The sequence below is a fragment of the Homo sapiens genome, chromosome 17 (genome assembly GCF_000001405.40).
Source record: "Homo sapiens chromosome 17, GRCh38.p14 Primary Assembly".
In the NCBI taxonomy this organism is placed as follows: domain Eukaryota; kingdom Metazoa; phylum Chordata; class Mammalia; order Primates; family Hominidae; genus Homo; species Homo sapiens.
Genome location: NC_000017.11, coordinates 60,498,938 through 60,523,334, shown reverse-complemented (window position 1 = coordinate 60,523,334; position 24,397 = coordinate 60,498,938). Strand labels below are relative to the sequence as shown.

General features: G+C 41.3%; 1 protein-coding gene and 1 pseudogene across 3 annotated transcripts in view; one reads left to right on the top strand and one right to left on the bottom strand.

Annotated features, from left to right (window-relative positions):
- APPBP2 (amyloid beta precursor protein binding protein 2) overlaps positions 1 to 24,397 on the top strand; it is an 83,085-nt gene that overhangs the window by 2,908 nt on the left and 55,780 nt on the right. Inside the window, exons 1-2 of one of the 3 annotated variants that reach the window (XM_047435116.1) lie at positions 14,123 to 14,282; positions 22,848 to 22,936. The exons of 1 other annotated variant lie outside the window; for it this stretch is intronic. In XM_047435116.1, the coding sequence (XP_047291072.1) occupies positions 14,277 to 14,282; positions 22,848 to 22,936 (95 nt within the window). In that variant the 5' untranslated portion in view covers positions 14,123 to 14,276. Of the gene's footprint in view, positions 1 to 14,122; positions 14,283 to 22,847; positions 22,937 to 24,397 lie in introns of those variants that run through there. One more of the 3 variants, NM_006380.5, reaches the window with a different exon arrangement.
- LOC107984970 (splicing factor 3B subunit 6-like) lies at positions 1,041 to 10,326 on the bottom strand (annotated as a pseudogene).

Sequence of the window (24,397 nt, the reverse complement as noted above, 5' to 3'; positions counted from 1 at the left end):
TAATTTTTAGTATAGATGAGGTCTTGATATATTGCCCAGGCTGGAAAAACTTTTTAAAGCAATATAACTGCACACATAAATATAAGATACTCACCCCCTGCCCAACTTGTGAAAATTTTAGGAGGCTTACTGTTTCCAATTTCCAATTTTCTGCACTTTAAAGCCAAGGAGAAACTCATAATTACATCTCTCTTGCAGTCCAAATTTCCATCAGTAGGCATAGTCATAGACAAAATTGGAGTATTTGTGGAATCAAATTTCCCCATTCTGCTTGTTTGGTGTACTACAGTATGACTGTGTTAATTTTTGTAATAGCTTCAGATAAAGGCACAATCGTAAAGCATTAGGAGATGGGGTTATGGAATGAATGGAAGGTAAAGAAGCAGGAATGTTGACTGCTGTATAAGCAGGGAAGGGAGAGCATAGAAAGGGTAAAATATGAAATGTTTTTTCTTTTTTTTAAAAAAAAAAAAGAATGGAAGACACTAGAATATATTTGTTGGCTGAGTGGCAGAAACCAAGAGAATGAGGTTGAGTATCCAAGTGTGGTGGGAAATAAGTTACGGAGCAAAGTCCCTGAGCAGGAACATGAGTTGATGAGTCTTGCCTGTTTTTGGTCTTTCCTCCTTCACCGTGCATAAATTAAGGTATTATCCTTATATTGGAGTTGGGGAAAGAACTCTTCTTCTAAGATCAGAACAAAAGAATTAAAGATGTAAAGGCGCAGGGCTCACACTCATAATTCCAACACTTTGGGAAGCTGAAGCAGAAGGATCGCTTGAGCACAGGAGTTCGAGACCAGCCTAGGCAACATAGACCCCTTCTCTACAAAAAGTAGAAAAAGTTATCCAGGCATGGTGGTGCATGCCTGTCATCCCAGCTACTCGGGAGGCTGAGGTGAGAGGATTGCTTGAGACCAGGAGGTCAGAGCCTGCAGTGAGCTGTCATTGTGCCACTGCACTCCAGCCTGGGCAACAGAGGGAGATCCTATCTCAAAACAAAACAAGTCGTTAATATAGGTAAGTTTGTAAGAATGATTGTCATGAATTAGGAGGTGAGTTCATTTGCTGCGGGTAAGTGATAGGAGTGGTAGCTTTTATACAGGAAGTCTAAACAGAAGTTGGGAATGTCTACTGAGGTGTATGAGAAGGGAAGGTGACTAAAAATGTGTAAAAGAATAGTTAATAAAAATCAGAACCCTACACAATACAGTCATGTGTTGCTTAATGACGGGGATATGTTCTGAGAAATGCATTGTTAGGCGATTTCATGCTTGTGGGAACATCAGAGAGTGTATTTACACAAGCCTAGATGGTATAGTCTACTACACACCTAGGTTATGTGGGATAGCCTATTGTTCTTAGGCTACAAACTCATATAGCATGTTACTTTACTGAGTACCGTAGGCAGTTGTAACACAGTATTAAGTGCTTGTGTATCTAAACCAGGGGTGTCCAATGTTTTGGCTTCCCTGAGCCACATTGGAAGAAGATAAATTGTCTTGGGCCACACATAAAATACAATAACGATAGCTGATAAGCTGAGGAAAAAAAAAATCTCATAATGTTTTAAGAAAGTTAACGAATTTCTGTTGGGTCTCATTCAAAGCTGTCCTGGGGGCTAGGTGCAGTGGCTCATGCCTGTAATCCCAGCTCTTAGGGAGACAGAGGTGGGAGGATAGCTTGAACTCAGGAGTTCGAGACCTGCCTGGGCAATAAAGCGAGACCCCATTCTTCACAAAAAGAAAAAAAAAAGTGTAACTGAAAGCTGACCTGGGCCACGTGTGGCCCGCTGGCTGTGCATTGGGCAAGCTTCATCTAAACATGGAAAAGGTACAGTATAAAAGATAAGAAATGGTACACCTGTATAGGGCACTTACCGTGAATGGAGCTTTTAGGACTGGAAGTTGCTCTGGTAAGTCAGTGAGTGAGTGGTGAGTGAATGTGAAGGCCTAAGACATCACTGTACACTACTGTAGATGTTATAAACAGTGTATACTTAGACGACTATAAATTAATGTTAAAAATAAAGTAATTCAACTACAATGTCTCTAGGCAATAGGAACTTTTTGGCTCTATTATAATCTTATGGGGCCACCTTTTTATATGCAGTCGGTTGTTGACTGAAACTTTATGTGGCATGTGATCATAATGCTTGGATTCTGAAAGTTTTCTCTCCAAGGGCGTGCAACCATTTTGGTATAAAAGCAGGTAAGATGAAGTGAAAGAATTGTGAGGCAGATGGAGTGATATATGCCTGTAGTCCCATCCTAGCTACTCAGGAATCTGAGGCAGGAAGATGGTTTGAGCCCAGAAGTTGGAGGTTATAGGGTGCTAGCTGCGGTCGTGCCTGTGAATACTGCACTCCAGCCTGGGCAACACAATTATCTCTTAAAAGAAAATTCTAGAACTCTATACAGAGTGAAAGGAAATAGAGACGGGGCTGTGTTCTTATTCTAAAGAATGAAGTTTATGGCCAGGTGTGGTAGCTCACACCTGTAATCCCAACAGTTCGGGAGGCTGAGCCGGGAGGATCTCTTGAGTCCAGGAGTTCAAGACTGGCTGGGGCAATGTAGTGAGACTCCATCTCTTTAAAAAAATGAATGAAGTTTATGATCTTTTTATTTTAACTACTGAAGGTCTATTTTGTGTTTTTTCCAAATACAAAGTGTGCCGTAGAGTTAAACTTTGTCTGGGTGAAGTGTTTCAGCAGTGTGTTCTATGTATTGTTTTCACAATCTTAATTTTTTTTTTTTTTTTTTTTTAACAGAGTCTTGTTCTGTTGCCTGGGCTCGAGTGCATAGGCACAATGTCGGCTCACTGCAACCTCTGCCTCCTGGGTTCAAGTGATTCTCCCGCCTCAGCCTCCCAAGTAGCTGGGATTACAAGCACCTGCCACCACATCCAGCTGATTTTTGTATTTTTAGTAGAGATGGGGTTTTACCATGTTGGCCAGGCTGGTCTTGAACTCCTTACCTCAGGTGATCTGCCTGCCTCGGCCTCCCGAAGTGCTGGGATTACAGGAGTGAGCCACTGCGCCCGGCCTCCTTAATGATTTTTTTAAAAATTAAAGTATTATGCTGAAAAGAAAAAACAAAATAAAAATAAATACCATGCTGAAAACCATACTAATTAGGTTCTGATTTAGGATCGGAGTTAATTTTTTCTTTTTCTCTGTATATTTCAGTTGTATAGCTACATACAGCCTGAACTAACATTCAGTTTTCTGAGAATTTAAAAAAATACACTGATGGCCGGGCATGGTGGCTTATGTCTGTAATCTCAGCACTTTGGGGCCATGGTGGGAGGATTTTGCTTGAGTCCAGGAGTTCGAGACCAGCCTGGGCAACATAGTGAGATCCCATCTCTAGAACAAAGAAAAAAATTAGCCATGTGTGGTGTTGCATGCCTGTAGTCTCAGCTACTCAGGAGGCTGAGGCAGGAGGATTGCTTGAGCCCAGGAGGCTGAGGTTGCAGTGAGCTGTCATTGCATCACCGTACTCCAGCCTGGGTGACAGGGTGAGACCTTGTCTCAAAAAAAAAAAAAAAAAAAAAAATTAAATTTGGCTACTAAAATTATAAAAGTATCAGAATAAATTATTGGGTCAATATTTTGCAGTGGGAAATGACCAAAATTTCTTCTTTAAAGAAATTGTTTTTCTTTCTTTTTTAAGAGACAAGTCCTCCTTCTGTCTCCCAGGCTGTAGTGCAGTGGCATAATCATATCTCACTGCAACCTTGGACTCTTGGCCCCAAGTGATCCTCCTGCCTCATCGTCCCGAGTAGCTAGGACTACAGATGCTTGCCACCACACCTGGTTAATTAAAAAAAAAATTTTCTCCTTTCTGTAGGAGATAACAACAAAAAAAACCTTAAAAATTTTTTTTTTGTAGAGACCGACCGTATCTCACTTTGTTGCCCAAGCTGGTCTTGAACCTTAGCCTCAAGCAGTCTTCCCACCTCAGCCCCGTAATGTGCTGGGATTACAGGTGTGAGTCACTGTGCCTAGCCTAAAAAATTATTTTTAAGGTAATGTACAAATCATGAAAATGTCAAACACTATAAAAATAAGTGGCCAGGAGCAGTGGCTCATGCCTGTAATCCCAGCACTTTGGGAGACCAAGGCAGGAGGATTGCTTGAGCCCAAGAGTTTGAGACCAGCCTGGGCAACATAGGGAGACACTGTCTTTACCAGAAAAAAAAAAATTTATTCAGGTGTGGTGGTGCATGCCTGTGGTCCCAGTTGCTTGGGAGGCTGAGGTGGAAGGATCATTTGAAGCTTGGCAAGTCGAGGCCGCTCAGTGAGCTGTGATTGTGCCGCTGCACACTAGCCTGGGCAACACAGTGAGAACTTGTCTCAAAGGGGGGGAAAAAGGTAATGTAAAAATAATTTTAAAATCTATCTTTACCTCTTGTCTTACCTTGCCAACACTGTAATGCCATCTTGGCATGAAGAAGGCATTTCTAAGAATGAAACCAAAGCCCAGAAGGAAAAAAAAGAAATTGATGTGTTGGAATGCATTAAAAAGTAGAGCAGGGAGCAGTGGCTTACTCTTGTAATCTGAGAACTTTGGGAGGCCAAGGTGGGAGGATGGCTTGAGCCTAAGAGTTCTAGACCTGCCTGGGCAACATAGGGAGACCCTGTCTCTACAAAAAAATTAAAAATTAGCCAGACATGGTGGCACATGCCTACGGTCCCAGCTACTCAGGAGGATCGCTTGGGCCTGGGAGATTCAAGGCTGCAGTGAGTGGTTATCATGACACTGCACTCTCAGCCTCCAGAGTGAGACCCTGTCTCTCTCTCTTTCACACACACACACACACACACACACGGCTGGGCATGGTAGCTCATGCCTGTAATCCCAGCACTTTGAGAGGCCGAGGCAGGCAGATTGTTTAAGCCTAAGAGTTCAAGACTAGCTGTCTCTCTCTCTTACACACACACACACACACACACACACACACACACACACACACGCACGCACACACGGCTGGGCATGGTAGCTCATGCCTGTAATCCCAGCACTTTGAGAGGCCGAGGCAGGCAGATTGCTTAAGCCTAAGAGTTCAAGACTAGCCTGGGTAACATGGCAAAATGGTGTCTCAACCAAAAACAATAAAAAATAAGCTAGGCATGGCGACATACACCTGTAGTGCCAGTTACTTGGCAGAATTGCTTGAGCCCAGGATGCGGAGGTTGCAGTGAGCCAAGATCATGCTACTGCACTGCAGACAGGATGAGACTGTCTCAAAAAAAAAAAAAAAAAGGAAATTGTAAGAACACTTTAAAAAAACACTATGCAGATGACAGCATTTGACAGATGAAGGGCATGTTTTCTAATACAGAAAGATCTAATACTAATCAGTTTGAAAAAGGCAGCTAAGGCAACTAATTCATGTCCCAAAAACCAGTTTACAGAAGAGGAAATATGAATGGCCAATGAACATTAAAAGATACTCAACTGAAATACAAATTCAAATACAAGATAAAGCCAGATGCAAGGTAATCATGACGATGAAGAAAGAAAATCTGGAGGAATTCAACTTGTTACCTGGCTATAACAATTAAGGTAATATGGTATTGGCACATGGATTGACAAATAGACCAATGGATCAAAATCGACAGTCCAGAAACAGACTGACACATATACTATCACCTGTATTATGATAAAAGTGAGACAGCACTATGATAGGGAAAGGAAAGTCAAATTAATGGTATTGGTTAATTAATTTCTGTATCAGGGAAGAAAGTATCTTGACTTTACCTCACACCACACACAAAAGTCATTTCCAGATAAATTGCTGATCTAAATATGAAAAAAGTTTTTTAGAAAAAAATTTTATGTCAGCAAAGATTAATTTGGATCTCAAAGTGGTTAAATATAAAGGAAGTGTGATAAATTGGTGCTATATTAAGATCAAGAACATCTCATCAAAAGATATCATTAAGCAAGTGAAGAGTCAAGCCACAGAGTGGGAGAAGATATTTGCAGCACCTGTATCTGACAAAGGACTCATTGTACACCTAAAGAAAGAACTGTACATTAATAGCAGAGAAAAGGCCCAACATGGTGGCTCACGCCTGTAATCCCAGCACTTTGAGAGGCCAAGGCAGGGGATCACCTGAGGTCAGGAGTTCAAGACCAGCCTGGCCAACATGGTGAAACCCCATCTCCACTAAAAATAAAAAAAATTAGCCAGGCATGGTGACAGGCACTTGTAATCCCAGCTACTTGGGAGTCTGAGGCAGGAGAATTGCTTGAACCCAGGAGACGGAGGCTGCAGCGAGCTGAGATCATGACATTGCACTCCAGGCTGGGCGACACAGCGAGAAAAATACTCAGTTTTTTGTTTGTTTGTTTTTTGAAGAGAATTTGAATAGGCATCCCAAAAGAGAATATTCAAAAGGCCAAACATTTAGAAAGAAACTCAACCTTATTTTGTCTTCAGAGAAGTACTGTTTTACTGTACACCCATCACAGTGACTCAATGAAAATGTTAGCAAGGATATGGAGAAATAAAAAACTCTCATACATTGTTAATGGGAATATAAGTTGATATGCCATTTTGGAAAAGCAGCATTATCTACTAAAACTGAACATAAACATACCCTGTAACCCAGTAATGCTACTTCAAGATATATACACTTATGAATGTTCATAGCACTGCTATTCATAATAGCCCAAAGGTGGAAACTGTCCAAATACCCATCAATAGAAGAATATTAATAAATAGTGGGATAGTCACGTAGTAGAATATTACACAATGAAAATGAATGAACAACAACTACTTGAAATAATATGAATGAATCTTGCAAATGATAATGAGTGAAATAAACCAGTCACAGGAATATATACCAGAGGTTCCTAAACTTTCTCCCTTTATAACCCTTGGTTCATGGCAACCCCAGGCCAAAAGAAATACCTGACAGTTCTGTTTATTAAGTAGTTAGATCCAAAAAACTTCATATTATTTATGTCCTAACAACTTAAGATCTGTTTCTTAAAATGCACAAAAATTGAACGAAAAAACTTTCATTCTTAGACAACCACATTAACTAATGGGATGTTTGTTTATTGGGCACTGTACAGCGTCTCAAACCTTGGAATCAGATTGGATACCACCACTCTCATCTGGTTTTTTTTGTTTGTTTTTTTTTTGTTTTTGTTTTTTGAGAGGGAGTCTCACTCTTCCTCCGAGGCAGGAGTGCAGTGGCATGATCTCTGCTCACTGCAACCTCTGCCTTCTGGGTTCAAGCAGTTCTGCCTCAGCTTCCCCAGTAGCTGGGATTACAGGTGCGTGCCACCACACCTGGCTAATTTTTTATATTTTTGGTAGAGACGGGTTTTCACCATGTTGGCCAAGCTGGTCTCCAACTCCTGACCTCAAGTGATCTGCCTGTCTCGGCCTCCCAGAGTGTTGGGATTACAGGCGTGAGCCACCGCACCCAGCTTCATCTGATGTTCCTTATTGACTTTTTATATTACTCTTTTTATCACAGCAACCACTGAAAACACAGCTTCATAAAGATCTCATTGAAAGCAGTGTAGTATACCAGTCTAGTAGTTGGTATAGCGCATTGCAGATGCTGAATGTTGTTTCTCTCAAATTAAGAATATCTAGCAGGGCCTCAGGGCACCTTGGTGCACAGTTTGGAAACTGGATGTATAATATATGATCTCATTTATATGAAGTTCAAAACAGGCAAAATTTAGTTGTTGAAAGTTAGGAGACGCTATTCTTGGACAGTAGTGACGATGCAGGGACAGATATGAGGGGAGCCTTCTGAGATTGTGGTTATACTTTGTTATTATCTGGATGCTGGTTACAAGTGAAAAATTTATCAAGCTTCACATTTAAAATATGAGTTGTGCGCTCTTCTGTATGCATGTTATACTTTGATTTAAAAATGTTAAAATAGGCTGGGCGTGGTGGCTCATGCCTGTAATCCCAGCACTTTGGAAGGCCAGGGTGGGTGGATCGCCTGAGTTCAGGAGTTTGAGACCAGCCTTGCCAACATGGTGAAACCCCGTCTCTACTAAAAGTACAAAAATTAGCCAGGCATGGTGGCTGGTGCCTATAATCCCAGCTACTTGAAAGGCTGAGGCAGGAGATCTGCTTGAACCCAGGAGGTGGAGGTTGCAGTGAGCTGAGATCGTGCCACTGCACTCCATCCTGGGTGACAGGGTGAGACTCTGTCTCAAAAAAAAAAAAAAAAAAAAATTTAAAATAGGCCAGGCGCAGTGGTTGATGCCTGTAATCCCAGCACTTTGGGAGGCCGAGGTGGGTGGATTACTTGAGGTCAGGAATTCAACACCAGCCTGGACAACATAGTGAAACCCCGTCTCTACTAAACATACAGAAATTAGCTGGGCATGGTGGCGGATACCTGTAATCCCAGCTACTTGGGAGGCTAAGGCAGAAGAATCACTTGAACCTGGGAGGTGGCAGTTGCAATGAGCTGAGATTGCACTGCTGCACCCCAGCCTGGGCGACAGAGTGAGACCCTGCCTCAAAAAAAAAGAAAAGTTTTAAAATAACATCAGCCTTCACCTGTCAGATTGTCATGCTTTAAAAATTCAAATCACTCATACCCTTTAACCAACAATACAATTTAAAGAATTTTTCTTCCAGGAATACTTGTTGAATGTGTGGAAAATCCTGTTAGAGGATATTCAGTGTTTGTTCATAAGCAGCATTGTTTATGATGGCAAAAATTGAAAACAACCATATGCTAATCAGGAATGGAATATCATAGTGCATTTATAAAGAATGAGTATTCTATGTATACTAGAGATGCCAGAACATAGAGCAAGTAGGGAGAATAAAAAGTTTGTTACAAAGTAGTGTGAATAGAATCATCTTATGTGTGTGTTTTGTTTTTGTTTTTTTGATAGAAACGGGGTCTGGCTCTGTTGTCCAGGCTGGTCTTGAATTCCTGGCATTAGGCGGTCTTCCTGCCTTGGCTTCCTAAAGTGCTGGTATTATAGGTATGAGCCACCTTGCCTAGCCTCCATTGTGGGTTTTTTGTTTGTTTGTTTTGAGACAGGGTCTTGCTCTGTTACCCAGGCTGGAATGCAGTGGTGCAATCACCACTTACTACAACCTCCACCTCCTAGGCTCAAGTGATCCTGCCTAGTAGCTGGGACTTACAGGTGTGTACTGCATGCTCAGCTAATTTTTGTATTTTTTGTAGAGATGAGATTTTGCCGCATTGTTCAGGCTGGTGTTGAACTCCTGGGTTCAAGTGATCTTCCTGCCACAGCCTTTCAAAATGTTGGGATTATAATGGTGTGAGCCACCATGCCTGGCTGTGTTTTTTTTTTTTTTTTTTTTTTAATGTGGGGAAAATATGTATATGTGTTTGCATTGAAAGAAGAATATAGGGGAACACAACAAAATTTTAATGGTGTTTACTCCAGGGGTAGGATCGCAATTGCTTTTTACTTTGTACATATATGCTCTATTTTCTTTTTTTTTTTCTGAGATGGAGTTTCACTCTTCTTGCCGAAGCTGGATTGCAGTGGCATCTGCAACCTCTGCTTCCCAGGTTCAAGTGATTCTCCTGCCTCAGCCTCCCGAGTAGCTGGGATTACAGGCACCCGCCACCACGCCCGGCTAATTTTTTGTATTTTTAGTAGAAATGGGGTTTCACCATGTTAGCCAGGCTGGTCTCGAACTCCTGACCTCAGGTGATCCTCCCGCTTTGGCCTCTCAAAGTGCTGGGATTACAGATGTGAGCCACCGTGCCCGCCCTCAAAATAAAAATGTAGAAAACATTGATTTTGGTGGATCTATCTTGACAACCATATTTCTCCGTGAGAAGCTTCAGCTGTTCCTCCTTCTTCGTGTCCATCTTCTGAAATGCCCTGTTGGCATTATAGTACAAAACCACAAGTTATCTGTCACAAAAATTGAATCCCGATAGGTGATCACAAGCATTCTTGGCAACAAAGATGTCTTCATAGACCACATAAGCTGTTCCTCTAGTTTCAGGTGTGTTTTCCACTCTGATTTGATGAATAGGTCCATATTTCCCAAATATACATTGATTGAGCTGTGATTGTGTATGGCAAATTTCTTATATACAATATCTGATTTACTTCAGGTGGAAGTCGAATGCTCGCCCTCTTGGCCGCTTGCACTGCTGTCTTGGCAGGCTGATGAGGTTACTGTAGCAAATACTGAAATTCTTCTGGACACCTTCCGAGCTCGCTGGGTTTCAGGCGCTGCACAGCATCAGGGGTGGGACATCAACACCCAAGTACTGCTGGAACCTGTTATAGCACCCACGGAATAGCGCTGTCTCACGCCAAGATGCGACCATGTAGCGTTCCCTTTTGAATAGGCTCCCAGGGTCAAAAAAAAAAAAAAAAAGGAAAAGAAAAATTTTTTTTTTAAGTGAAGACTTTCAGACTTATTTCTGAAACTGTATACTAGATATTCAGCATTCTTTTTTTTTGTCGTTTCTTTTCCTTTCCTTTTTTTTTTTTTTTTTTTTTTAGATGGAGTCTCACTCTGTTGCCTAGGCTGGAGTGTAATGGGCAGTCTCGGCTCACTGCAACCTCCGCCTCCTGAGTTCAAATTATTTTCCTGCCTCAGCCTCCTGAGTAGCTGGGACTACAGGTGCGTGCCATCACACCCGACTATTTTTTGTATTTTTAGTAGAGACGGGGTTTCACTATGTTGGCCAGTCTGGTCTTGAACTTCTGACCTCGTGATCCTCCCGCCTCAGCCTCCCAAAGTGTTGGGATTACAGGTGTGAGCCACCGCACCCAGCCCTATTCAACATTCTTGAGGTGCTAACCAGTACTGTTAAAATAAGTAAAAAGCCAGCAAAGTCAACTGAAAAACTATAGCAGTAAGATAATTCAGTAAAGGGGCTGATTACACGTTTATAATTAAAAATTCAATTTTTCTATATGCAATATAGGAAGGATTATATCTGACTCAAAATAATAAAACACCTCTTTGGGAGGCCGAGGCGGGCGGATCACGAGGTCAGGAGAGCGACACCATCCTGGCTAACACGGTGAAACCCCGTCTCTACTAAAAAATACAAAAAATTAGCTGGGCGTGGTGGTGGGCACTTGTAGTCCCAGCTACTCGGGAGGCTGAGGCAGGAGAATGGCTTGAACCCGGGAAGCAGAGCTTGCAGTGAGCCGAGATTGGGCCACTGTACTCCAGCCTGGGTGACAGAGCGAGACTCCATCTCAAAAAAAGAAAATAATAATAATAATAAAAAAACACCTCAAGGAGTGAGACCAAAAAGACACCCAAAAGTCTTCAATAAATGTAGAAGAGCCAATATTTTGTTCCTAGATTGGAAGATTTGGGGTTTCAAAGATGTAACTTTTCCCAGAATCTATATATTCAGTGTGAACTTAATCAGAATCCCCAGAACAGTTCTTAGAACCGTTAAAAATTTTAAAAATGTGTAGTGGGAAAAAATATATCTTTATATAATAGAGGATTAAAGTTTATTAAGCATATTCAAAACTCTTGCAAATCAATAAGAAAAGGAGAACTGGAAAGAAGTGTGCCATTATGTTGACAGTGATTTTCCTCTGTAGATGGATGGTAAAAATCAGCAATTATTTTTGAAATTCCCTGCATTTTCTAATGTTTTTAAAAACATAAATGCTGAAATCAGAGGAAACAAGTGTTTTACAGTTGGTTATCTAGAATACAGAATGAGTTTTCTTATAGAGACAGGAAGTGTTTTCTTTTTTCTTTTTCTTTTTTTTTTTTTTCAATGGAGTCTTGCTCTGTCGCCAGGCTGGAATACAGTGATGCGATCTCGGCTCACCGCAACCTCTGCCTTCCGAGTTCAAGTGTTTCTCCTGCCTCAGTCTGCTGAGTAGCTAGGATTACAGGCACACAACACCACGCCCAGCTAATTTTTGTATTTTTAGTAGAGACGGGGTTTCACCATGTTGGCCAGGATGGTCTCGATCTCCTGACCTCATGATCCACCCACCTCGGCTTCCCAGAGTGCTGGGATTACAGGCGTGAGCCACCGCGCCCGGCAGAAAGTGTTTTCTTATAGCTATACTGCCCTATCCTTTTGTCTCATGGAAACACTTCCGATTTTCACCACATATTGGTAGTGAAACTTCAAGAAGAGAAGCTGAGAGACTTATCCCAAATATAGAGATTGCTGGTATATATTGTGTTATGTATGACTGGTTATCACTGACTAGGCCTTACATCTAACTAGATTTTTGTTTTGAACTTCCATTTGTGCTGTGGTAACATCTCCTACCACTAACAAAATCATACTATCTTGAAAATTATGCCATTGACCTATAAAGTGAGGTATAGAGTTGGAGCATCTGGGTAAATACACATAAGTTCATTCTTTTAACCATTGGGGGGGAAAACTCTTAATTTCTTGTTTCATGGATGATTGACCTAGTGACATCATCATCATAAATGGACAGCATATTTAAGTTTTAGTAAAGGGTTGCCCTTTTATTTGAATATTATCTGAAATGACACTTTAATGAAGCAACAGATAAAGGACATTAAATGTAAGGTATAAAGTACAAAGAAAAGGAATATCAATATTCTAATATAATGTTTTTCAGAGTACATTTCAGATGATTTTTTTTTCCCCAGAAACAGGATCTCACTTTGTCTCCCAGGCTCTGGTGTAGTGGAGCAATTATGGCTCACTGCGGCCTCAACCTCCCAGGCTCAGGCAAACCTCCCACCTCAGCCTCCCAAGTACCTGGGGCACACGCCACCATGCTTGGCCAATTTTTTTTTTTTTTGTAGTGATGGGGGTCTCCCTATGTTGTCCAGGCTGGCCTTAAACTCCTGGGCTCAAGCAGTCCTCCCACCTTGGCCTCCCAGAGTGCTGGGATTACAGGTGTGACCCACCACGCCCAACATCAGATGAGTTTTTTACTTTTTAAAATTATTTGTTTTGAGGCAGGATTTTGCTGTGTTGTCCAGGCTGGAGTCCAGTGGTATAATCATGACTCACTGCAGCCTTGACCTTCAGGGCTCAAGTGATCCTTCCACCTCAGCCACCCAAGTAGTTCAGACTACAGATATGTACTACCACGTCTGGCTAATTTTTTATTTTTTGTGGAGTTGGGGGTCTTGCTACATTGCCCCGGCTGGTCTCAAACTCCTGGTCTCAAGCAATCCTCTTGTCTCGGCTTGCCAAATTGCTGGGATTACAGGTGTGAGCCACTGTGCCAGCCTTCAGATGAGTTTTGAGATCAGAGCATAATAATAAATGAATCATGTAAGTGACGATAACTCATGTTTGTTAAATGAAACATATTCTTTTATGTTAGAGGTAAAGGATACATTTACAAGACTTCCTTTTTTAAAAAGTTAAATACATACAGAAATAGAATAGAATAATGAATTCCTATGTCTATCACCTAGCTTTAACAATTATCGATTCTGGCCAGTCTTGTTACTGAATCTGTTCTCCCATTCACTTTCCCCTTTCATGTGATATTTGGAAGCAAATCTAGACATCAGATGATTTCTTTGTTGTTGTTTTTTGTGTTTTTTGAGATGGAGTTTCACTGTTGTTGCCCAGGCTGGAGTGCAATGGTGCAATCTCAGCTCACCGCAGCCTCCACCTCCTGGGTTCAAGCAATTCTGCCTCAGCCCCCCGGGTAGCTGCGATTACAGGCATGTGCCACCACGCCCGGCTAATTTTGTATTTTTAGTAGAGATGGGGTTTTTCTATGTTAGTCAGGCTGGTCTCAAACTCCCAACCTCAGGTGATCCGCCTGCCTAGGCCTCCTAAGGTGCTGGGATTACAGGCGTGAGCCACCACACCTGGCCAGGTAATTTCATCTAGAAATATTTTAGTAACTACCACACTATTATAACACCTGAGGAAAATGAACAGTAATTCCTTAATGTTCTTAAATGTACAGTCACTGTTCAAATTTTCAGTTGTTTCAAACATGTTTTTTTTTTTTTTGAGACGGAGTCTCGCTCTGTCGCCCAGGTTGGAGTGCAGTGGCGCAATCTCGGCTCACTACAACCTCCGCCTCCCAGGTTCAAGCAATTCTCCTGCCTTAGCCTCCTGGTAGCTGGGACTACAGGCACACACCACCATGCCTGGCCAATTTTTGTATTTTTATTAGAGATGGGGTTTCACCATGCTGGCCAAGTTTGTCTTGAACTCCTGACCTTGTGATCCACCTGCCTCAGCCTCCCAAAGTGCTGGGATTACAGCCATGAGCCACCACTCCTGGACTCAAATGTGTATATTTTTATAGTTTGCTTGTTTGGATCAGGATGCAGGTAAGTTCCACATGTTAGCATTTTCTTGATACACCTCTTGAGTCTCTCTTGATCTATAGTTTACCTTTCCTTCTGTTTTATTTTCTTTGCAATTTACTTGTTAAGAAACACATTCGTTTGTCCTGTAGACTTTAAAGAGTTTCCTGAAGTCTAGATTTTGCTGATCAGTATATACAGCATTTTCATCTCCCCTCAGAAACACCTGGGTGTTTTTGCATTTGTCTGTCTGGGGACTTCATGGGTTTCACTGGTTTCAGGCTAGTTTTTAATGCCAGATTCTGAGTTTGGGGTCTGTAAATCATCTAGGTAGTATCAATTTGGACTAGGTACCCATGTGTGTCCTGGACTGGAGGTTTCAGTTTTTCATAGGAGACTGCTAAAGCTAGAGGAGATGTTCTAGACTTCTTTAGGCAGGTAGTTAGACTTCTTTAGGCAGGTAGTTAATCTCCAGGTCTCTTTGCTTACAGGATATGCTGCCTCAGCTCCTTTCTGGTCTTTGATACTCTAGCTTGAAACCATTCAGAGGTATAAACTACTCTGTTTTCCTTCTTTCCTAGCTGCTTTCAAGTTTGTGTTTTCTTAATTTTTGGCAACTGTGGAGTTTCTATGCTTGGTTTCAATTTAGCTATTTATCCAAAAGTTATTTTGTGATTTTTTTTAAATATATATCCAGCCTTTCTGTGTCCGAAAAAGGGTTGAAAGGTTAGCATCTTTGTCAGTGCTATGTGCCATATTGCTAGAAGTGTTACTAGCAATTCCTCTGCATCTGAAGTTCTTGGAGTGGATATTTTATCTGTATTCTTAAAGCAGTTTGCCTACCTTCATCATATAATCTGTGAACATTATTTTTCTGTTCTGAAAGATTCTAAATTTTTTGAAATCAGAGAACAGTTCTACCAAAAACTACACAAATTAGCCAGGCATTGGTGGCTCGCACCTGTAGTCCCAGCTACTCCGGAGGCTGAGGCTGGAGAATCGCTTGAGCCCAGGAAGCGGAGGCTGCAGTGAGCTGGGATTTCACCACTGCACTCCAGCCTGGGTGGCAGAGTGAGACCCTGTCTCCAAAAAAAAAAAAAAGAAGGAAAAAAAAGAAACAACTTGGCTGGGTGTAGCAGGGTGTGTCTTTAGTTGTAGCTACTTGGGAGGTTGAGGTGGGAGAATCTCTTGAGCCCAGGAGTTGGAGGCTGCAGTGAGCTATGATCACGCCACTGTACTCCAGCCAAGGTGACAGTGAGACCCTGATTCAAAAACATGAAAATGAAAGGTGCTTATAGTCTGATTGGAGAGGCAGTAGTCAACTGTGTGAAAGTGAGGTTTTTCCCAAAGTATCAAATTTACCAACCGGGTTAATCTCGATAATTTCAGTAAATAAGGATGTAATATAATAACAATACTAAATAATTGATTCCCTAATTATAAACTCCAGAGTAGAGACTGTGTCTTGAATTTTTTTGTGTCTTCTGAGGTTCTGAGTTCCATCCAAAGTAATTAAGTACCAATTTGGGTTATTCATTTAGAAAATATTTAAGGGGGCCAGGCATTGTGGCTCATGCCTGTAATCCCAGCACTTTGGGAGGCTGAGGTGGGCAGCTCACGTGAGGTCAGGAGTTCTAGACCAGCCTGGCCAACATGGCAAAATCCCATCTCTACTAAAAGTATAAAAATTAGCCGGGCATGGTGGTACATGCCTTTAATCCCAGCTATTTGGGAGACTGAGGCACGAGAACCACTTGAACCCAGGAGGCAGAGGTTGAAGTGAGTCAAGATTTTGCCACTGCACTCTAGCTTGGGTGATGGAATGAGACTCTGTCTCAAAAAAAAAAAAAGAAAAAAGAAAAATATTTAATGTGGCAAGGATTGAAAAACTACTTACTGGGTACTGTTTTGCTACTTGGGTATGGGTTCACTTGAAGCCCACACCCCAGCATTATGCAATATAACCGTGTAACAAGCCTGCAAATGTACCCCTGAATCTAAAATTTTTGAAAAGAGAAGAAAGAAAAAATTTTTATTTTTTTGAGATGGAGTCTTGCTCTATCGCCAGGCTGGAGTGCAGTGGCGTGATTTCAGCTCACTGCAACCTCTGCCTCCCAGGTTCAAGAGATTCTCCTGCCTCAGCTTCCCAAGTAGCTGGGACTACAGGCACCCGCCACCACGCCCAGCTAATTTTTGTATTTTTAGTAGAAACGGGGTTTCACCATGTTGGCCAGGATGGTCTCGATCTCTTGACCTCGTGATCTGCCCGCCTCGGCCTCCCAAAGTGCTGGCATTACAGGCGCGAGCCACCGCGCCCGGGGGGAAAATGTTTTTTTTAAAAAAGAAAATATTGAATGTATATCTTGTACTAGGCACTGTGCTAGGTATTGGGAATATAGTGGTGACTGTAGTCACCTCATAGAATGTAGAGTGTGATGGAATAATATATTTAACAAATGACTGTTTAAGTGAATGCATGCATGTCTTAATGCTACTGTGGAGGTAAAAAAAACAGTGTGTCATGAGAAAGTTTAACAGGACATAGAATTTAGATTGCTGAGTCAGGGGAAGAGCTCTGTGAGGAAGTGACATAGTGTAGTTGAGAGGATTTGGATGAGTTATAAACTAACCAGGCAAAGAATCATGTTACCAGTGCTTCATGTAGAGGTAGTAGCATATGTGTGCAAAAGTTATGAGCCAAAAGAAAGCTAAGGTGGCAGGAGTGTAGGAGACAGGGAGAAACAATAGTAAACGATGAGGTCAGAAATATAGGCAGGCGTCAAGGCCAGGGGCAGTGGCTCAGGCCGGTAATCCCAGCACTTTGGGAGGCCTAGGTGGGAGTATCACTTGAGCCCAAGAGTTTGTACACCAGGCTAGGCAACATAGTGTGACCCCATCTCTACAGAAAAAATGGAAAAATTAGCCAGGCATGGTTGTGCATGCCTGTAGTACCAGCTACTATCTGGGGCTGAGGTGGGTGCATTGCTTGAGCCCAGGAAGGAGATTGAGGCTCCAGTGAGTCATGATCATGCCACTGCCCTCCAGCTTGTGAGACAGAGGCCAGACTGTCTCCCAGGGAGAAAAAAAAAAGAAAGGCCAGGCATGGTGGCTCACACCTGTAATCCCAGCACTTTGGGAGGCCGAGGCAGGTGGATCACCTAGGTCAGGAGTTCGAGAACAGCCTGGCCAACATGGTGAAGCCCCATCTCTGCTAAAAATACAGAAATTAGCTGGGCATGGTGGCGGGCGCCTGTAATCCCAGCTACTCAAGAGACTGAGGCATGAGAATTGCTTGAACCCGGGAGGCAGAGGTAGTGATCCCAAGTGGCACCACTACACTCTAGCCTGGGCAACAAGAGTGAAACTCCATCTCAAAAAAAAAAAAAAAAAAAAAAAAAAACCGCAGGGGTCAGGTGGCTTTTAGGATCTCAGAGGTAACATTAATAAAGATTTTGGATTATGGGCCAGGCGCGATGGCTCACACCTCTAATCCCAGCACTTTGGGAGGCCACGGTGGGCGGATCACAAGGTCAGGAGATCGAAACTATCCTGGCTAACACCGTGAAGCCCCGTCTCTACTAAAAATACAAAAAATGAGCTGGCCATGGTGGCAGGCGCCTGTAGTCCCAGCTACTCTGGAGGCTGAGGCAGGAGAATGGCGTGAACGCGGGAGGCGGAGCTTGCAGTGAGCCAAGATCGTGCCACTGCACTCCAACCTAGGCGACAGAGCGAGACTCCGTCTCAAAAAGAAAAGATTTTGGATTATGTTCTACATTGGGGGTGCCATTTAAATAAAGGTTTTAAACAAGAGAATGGCATGATATGAGTTACTTTTTTACAAGATTATTCTGGTTACTGTGTGGACCGTAATTTTGAGGGAGACAAGAGTGGTAATGGAGGGACTAATTCTATCAAACCTTTACAGTAATCTAGGTGAAATATTTGAGATATTAATCCTATACCATATATATAAGCATTGTATTATTTCAGATTTTTATATGGATGCATATATAATGTAGATATACAATTTAGAAGCAAAAGTGGAATTTTATTACACGTTTCAGGAACTTGTTCACTTCATATAACATGGCCATTTTTCCTTGATAACAACCCCTTTTCATTTCTGAAGTTTTGGCTATTTAAAGACTCTCTGAGAAAGTTCCAAACATGAATGAGATGCACAGGTTTCATTGGTATGTGTGAGTGTGTGCATGCAATTATGTGCCTTCAGTTTTTCTTAGAACATAGGTGTTTTTTGGTTGGTTGGTTGTTTTTGAGACAAGAGTCTCAGTGTCACCCAGGCTGGAGTGCAGTGCGCAATATCAGCTTATTGCAACCTCCGCCTCCTGACTTTGTGCAATTCTTATGCCTCAGCTTCCCAAGTACCTGGGACACGCAGCCATGCCGGGCTGATTTTTATATTTTTGGTATAGTCAGGGTTTCGCCATGTTGGCCAGGCTGATCTTGAATTTTATGTGATGTGATGCTTAGGAAAGCAATGTTAGCAGGTAGCTTTTAATACTGCTATGATATAATTTTTTACCATTTAAAACTTTGATAAATCTGGAATTCCTTTTTGTTACATTTTATCAGGTAGGCATCTTTGTTTACCCATTTTTATGCACTCTTTATTAAGTAATTTTTTTCTTTCCTCAGTGATCTTAAAATGCTTCTTTTGTCATACGTTGATATTTATATACACTAAGGTCTGTTTTTGAACTTTGCATTTTGTTCTGTTGGTTGATCTATCTTCATAACTGTATAATACTGTTTTAATTGTATTTTATTATCTGTTTTTATATCTGGTGGGTGATAATTTGCCTACTTCTAGAAATAAGCTTGTTTTCCCTTTTGTTTAAGGTAGGAACAGCTGAAAGTGGTTGATATAGCCCTTTAATAGCTTCATTATGCTACGGGTACATAATATAAACTAAAATAAGTTTTAAAAATCTTATATGAGAATCATTACTGGAACAAAAAGTATCAGTTTCCTCTCTTCTAAGCTCTGTTTCATAAGATGTTTGAATCTATGAGGGGATTAACCTTTAAATCTTCCATCATTTCTATAAAAATATTTTAAATTGTCCATTTAATACTTTTAAAAATTTCCTTTTATATTATCTTCAAGAGGCAATATAGGGTAAGTTGTTAAGAACATGGATGTAGGGACAGACTGCCTGGGTAAGATTCCTGCTTTGCCCATCCTAATTATATGATTTTGAGAAGGTTATTTAACTGTATATGACTCAGTTTCCTCATCTGTAAAAGGATAAAATGAATAATTTATGAAAAGCACTGACAACAGTGCCTGACACATAAAAGATTAGAAGTTATTTTTTTTCTGGATTGGTATCCAAAAACCCCTTTAATTCATAAAATGTCTTAATTTCAGGCCGGGCACGGTGGCAGACACCTATAATCCCAGCACATTGGGAGGCTAAGGCAGGCGGATCACCTGAGGTCAGGAGTTCAAGACCAGCCTGGCCAACATGGTGAAACCCCATCTCTACTAAAAATACAAAAATTAGCTGGGCGTGGTGGCGGGCGCCTGTAATCCCAGCTACTCCAGAGGCTGAAGCAAGGGAATCACTTGAACCTGAGAGGTGGAGGTTGCAGTGAGTCAGTCACGCCACTGTACTCCAGCCTGGGCAACAAGAGCAAAACTCTGTCTCAAAAAAAAAAAAATTACTTTGCATTTTTTAGATAAACTTGGTAAGGATGAGTTGAAACAAATTACCCTTTCCCGTCAATTTAAATGTGAGCGCATTTTAACTAGAGAAACTCATGCCTGTAATCCCAGCACTTTGGAAGGCTGAGGCGGGCGGATCATGAGGTCAAGAAATCGAGACCATCCTGGCTAACATGTTGAAACCTTGTCGCCACTAAAAATACAAAAATTACCTGGGCGTGGTATCCCGCGCCGGTAGTCCAGGCTATTCGGGAGGCTGAGGCAGGAGAATCGCTTGAACCCAGGAGGTGGAGGTTGCAGTGAGCTGAGATCATGCCACTGCACTCCAACCTGGTGACAGAGTGAGAGACTCTGTCCCAAAAAAAAAAAAAAAAGAAAATTTAAACAGCCAAATATCAAATATAGACTCTCATTTAGTAGGATACACCAGTTTCAGTCATTAAAGGAATGCAGTGAATTGTAAGATAACATAAAATTTTGTTTTTAGGCAAAGTAGTTGTATAACTTGTTTTTGTTTATTCTTTTTTTGTTTTTTTTGAGACAGAGTTTTGCTCCATCACCCAGGCTGGAGTGCAGTGGCGCGATCTTGGCTCCTTGCAACCTGTCTTACGAGTTCAAGCGATTCTCTCCCAGCCTCCCGAGTAGCTGGGATTACAGGTGCCTGCCACCATGGCCTGTTTAATTTTTATATTTTTAGTAGAGACAGGATTTCTCCATGTTGGCCAGTCTGGTCTTGAACTGTTGACCTCAGCTGATCCACCCCCCCTTGGCCTCCCAAAGTGCTGGGATTACAGGCGTGAGCCACCATGCCCAGCCTGTTTATTCTTTTTTTAAAAAGAAATTCTAAGCCTTAAGTTTGATAATGAAAAGTCAGTCATTTTGGTAAGAAGCTAAGATTGTTGTCTTAGTGTTTTTGGAGTGTATGTTTGTATTTATTTTGGTAACTGTTGTGTCGCAAATCAGAAATTTATCACCTTGTTAAGCCCATGTTATAAGAATGTGGTCGTAAGTTCTCAGCTTTACTTTCCCTGAGTTATTCTGTTTTGGTTGTCAAGTAAATAAGACAGCAGTTAATAGTAGTGAATTTTACAGCATGCATTCCCAGAAGCTCTTACTTTTCTATAGCAGAAAACAGAGTCCTCTATAAGGATAGCAAATATAGGCTGAACGCAGTGGCTCACGCCTGTAACCCCAGCACTCAGAGAGTCTGAGGCAGGAAGATCACTTGAGCCCAGGAGTTTGAGACTGCAGTGCTGCATTGAGCTATAATTGTGCCACTATACTGCAGCCTGGATGACAGAGTAAGACCATTAAAAAATAAATAAATAAATAAATAAAAATAACAAATCTTTCTTGCTGAAGGTTTTAATGTTAACATAAATGTCTAACTATTACATGAAGATAACATTTCTGCCTTTCCTTCGTGAGCATGTGGTGGTCCCTGTCCCCTCTCCCCTCCAGGAGTTACAGATTTTTTGAAGCAGTCATTATGGATTTGGATTAATATATTTACCTAATTCGACCTGACCTCCATTGTGACTAGTGATTTATGCCCAGGAGTGTGCTGAGGTTTTATTATGTTTTCCATGCACCAAGTAAACTGGCCCATTTGGAGAGTGACCTTGTTTTCTTTATGAAACCCATGTTCTCATCAACTGAGCTGTTAAATGCCTGTAATATAAAGTCAAATAAATCCTGCTTTCTAAGGCACTGTATTATTTATATAGCATGTGTAAATTTAGAAGCATTTGGTCTTGAGGTCAGGAGTTCAAGACCAGCCTGGCCAACATGGTGAAACCCCGTCTCTACTAAAAATACAAAAAAAAAATTAGGCATGGTGATGCATGCCTGTAATCCTAGCTACTAGGGATGCTGAGGTGGGAGGATTGCTTGAACCCGGGAGGCAGAGGTTGCAGTGAGCCGAGATTGCACCACTACACACTCTTGGGTATTGTATTGCCTGGGCAACAGAGCAAGACTGTCTCAAAAAGCATTTGGTGACATTGAGGCGGGGTTGCAGGGAGGGACAATAGTATTTGTCTTTCTGTTTATTTATTTATAATTTTTTTGAGACAGGGTCTCACTCTCACCCAGGCTGTGTATTCTAGAGACAGGGTGTCACTATGTTGCCCAGGCTGGTCTCCAACTCCTGGGCTCAAGCAGTCCCCTTGCCTCAACCTCCCAAATAGCTGAGACTACAGGTGCATGCCACCACACCTAGCGAATTTATTTATATTTTATAAATAGGGTCTTGCTATGTTGCCCAGGCCTGTCTCAAACTCTGGCCTCAAGCAATACTCCCTCCTTTGCCTCCTTAGTAGCTGGAATGACAGGATCAAACCACAGCGCCCAGCCTTAAAATGTTATTTTAAATTGTAGTTCTAAAAAGTCAGAATGTATAAACGATTATGGCATAATTAGAAATCCTGCCATCCTGTATTACTATTGACATGCTCTACTATTGGTGTGTTTTTGACGTGTTATAACCAGGACTGAACTGAGATTTTTGAGGTGGCCATATTGACCAGCTCTGTTTTCTGGACATTATCTTTGCTATTATTTTGATAATTTTACACCGACTCTCCAGTTTTGTTTAAGTAAAAAAGTTAACAGTTTAACATGATTTTTATCTGTATTTAATGAATACATAATTATACAGCACTTTGTAGTACTTGCCATGTTCCAGGTACTGTTCTAGGTGGTTTACAAATACCAATTTGTAACGATTATATGCAACTATTAAAATATTTTTATATGAATTGTAGAAATTTGTTAGTGTTACATTTCTCTTAACATAAGCATCTTTCCTGAAATTAATCAAATTACATTTATCAAATATGATTAAAGTAAAAAGAAGAATTAAATTGCAAAATTTTTAAATCATTTGTTTTTTATTTCAGCTTTACCAACAGGGACGCTTATGTCAACTGGGCAGTGAATTTTGTGAATTGGAAGTTTTTGCTAAAGTACTGAGAGCTTTGGATAAAAGGTAAATTCTTTTTTAAAAAATTGTAAAATATACATAACATAAAATTTACCATTTTAACCGAATTGAGTGGCATTAAGTATATTCACATTGTGGGCTGGGTGCTGTGGCTTACGCCTGTAATCCCAGCACTTTGGGAGGCTGAGGTGGGCAGATCACGAGGTCAGATCGAGACCTTCCTGGCTAACGTGATGAAACCCTGTCTCTACTAAAAATACAAAAAATTAGCTGGGCGTGGTGGTAGGCGCCTTAGTCCCAGCTACTTGGGAGGCTGAGGCAGGAAAATGGCGTGAACCTGGGAGGCGGAGCTTGCAGTGAGCCAAGATCGCGCCACTGCACTCCAGCCTGGGTGACAGAGCAAGACTCCGTCTCAAAAAAAAAAAAAAAAAGTATATTCACATTGTGCAACCATCAACACCATTCATTTCCAGAACTTTTTAATCACCCTGAACAAAAACTCCTTACCCACTAAATAGTAACTCCCCATTCTCTCTTTCCCTTATCCTGTGTAGCCACCATTGTACTTTAGATGAGTTTGACTTCTCTGATTTCCCATATAAGTGGAATCCTTATAATGTTTATCCTTTTGTGTGTATTGTATTTCATTTAGCATAATGTTTTTAAGGTTTATCTATGTTGTAGTACAAGTCAGAATTTCATTTCTTTTTATGGCTAGATTATATTCCATTGTGTGCATATACCACATTTTGTTTATCTATTCATCTGTCAATGGATATTTGGGTTCTTTCTACCTTTTGGCTAGTGTGAATAATACTGCTGTGAACATGAGCGTAGAAATATCTCTTCAAGCCCCTGCCTTCAGTTATTTTGGTTATATACTCAGAAGTTGAATTGCTGGATTATATGGTAATTCTACTTTTGTTTATTTTTTAAGAGACTTAGTTTGACTATGTTGTACAGGCTGCCCTCGAACTCCTGGGCTCAAGGGATCCTCGTTTTTCAGCCTCTCTGCTAGCTGGGACTAAAGGCGCTATGCCACTGCACCCAACTCTTATTTCCAGTTTTTTTGAGGAACTGTCATACTGTTTTCCATATTTTTTTTTTTTTTGAGACACAGTCTTGTTCTGTTGCCAGGATGGAGTTCAGTGGCATGTTCGTAGCTCACTGCAAACTCAAACTCTCCTTGGCTCAAAGCCATCCTCCCACCTCAGCCTCCTGAGTAGCTGGGACTATAGGCGCATGCTATCACACCCAGCTAATTTTTTTATTTTTAGTAGAGATGAGGTCTCGCTGTGTTGCCCAGGCTGGTCTCGAACTCCTGGGCTCAAGTGATCCTCTTGTCTCAGTCTTCCAAAGTGCTGGGACATAAATTTCATTTTTAGGTTACTTGTTTTTTAAAATTCCATTACACCTCTTTTTAATGCATGAAGTTACGTTTATTTTTGACTAATTTCTTATGTGGTTTAGAAATTATTTCATAAATATGATTATATCAGAAAATTT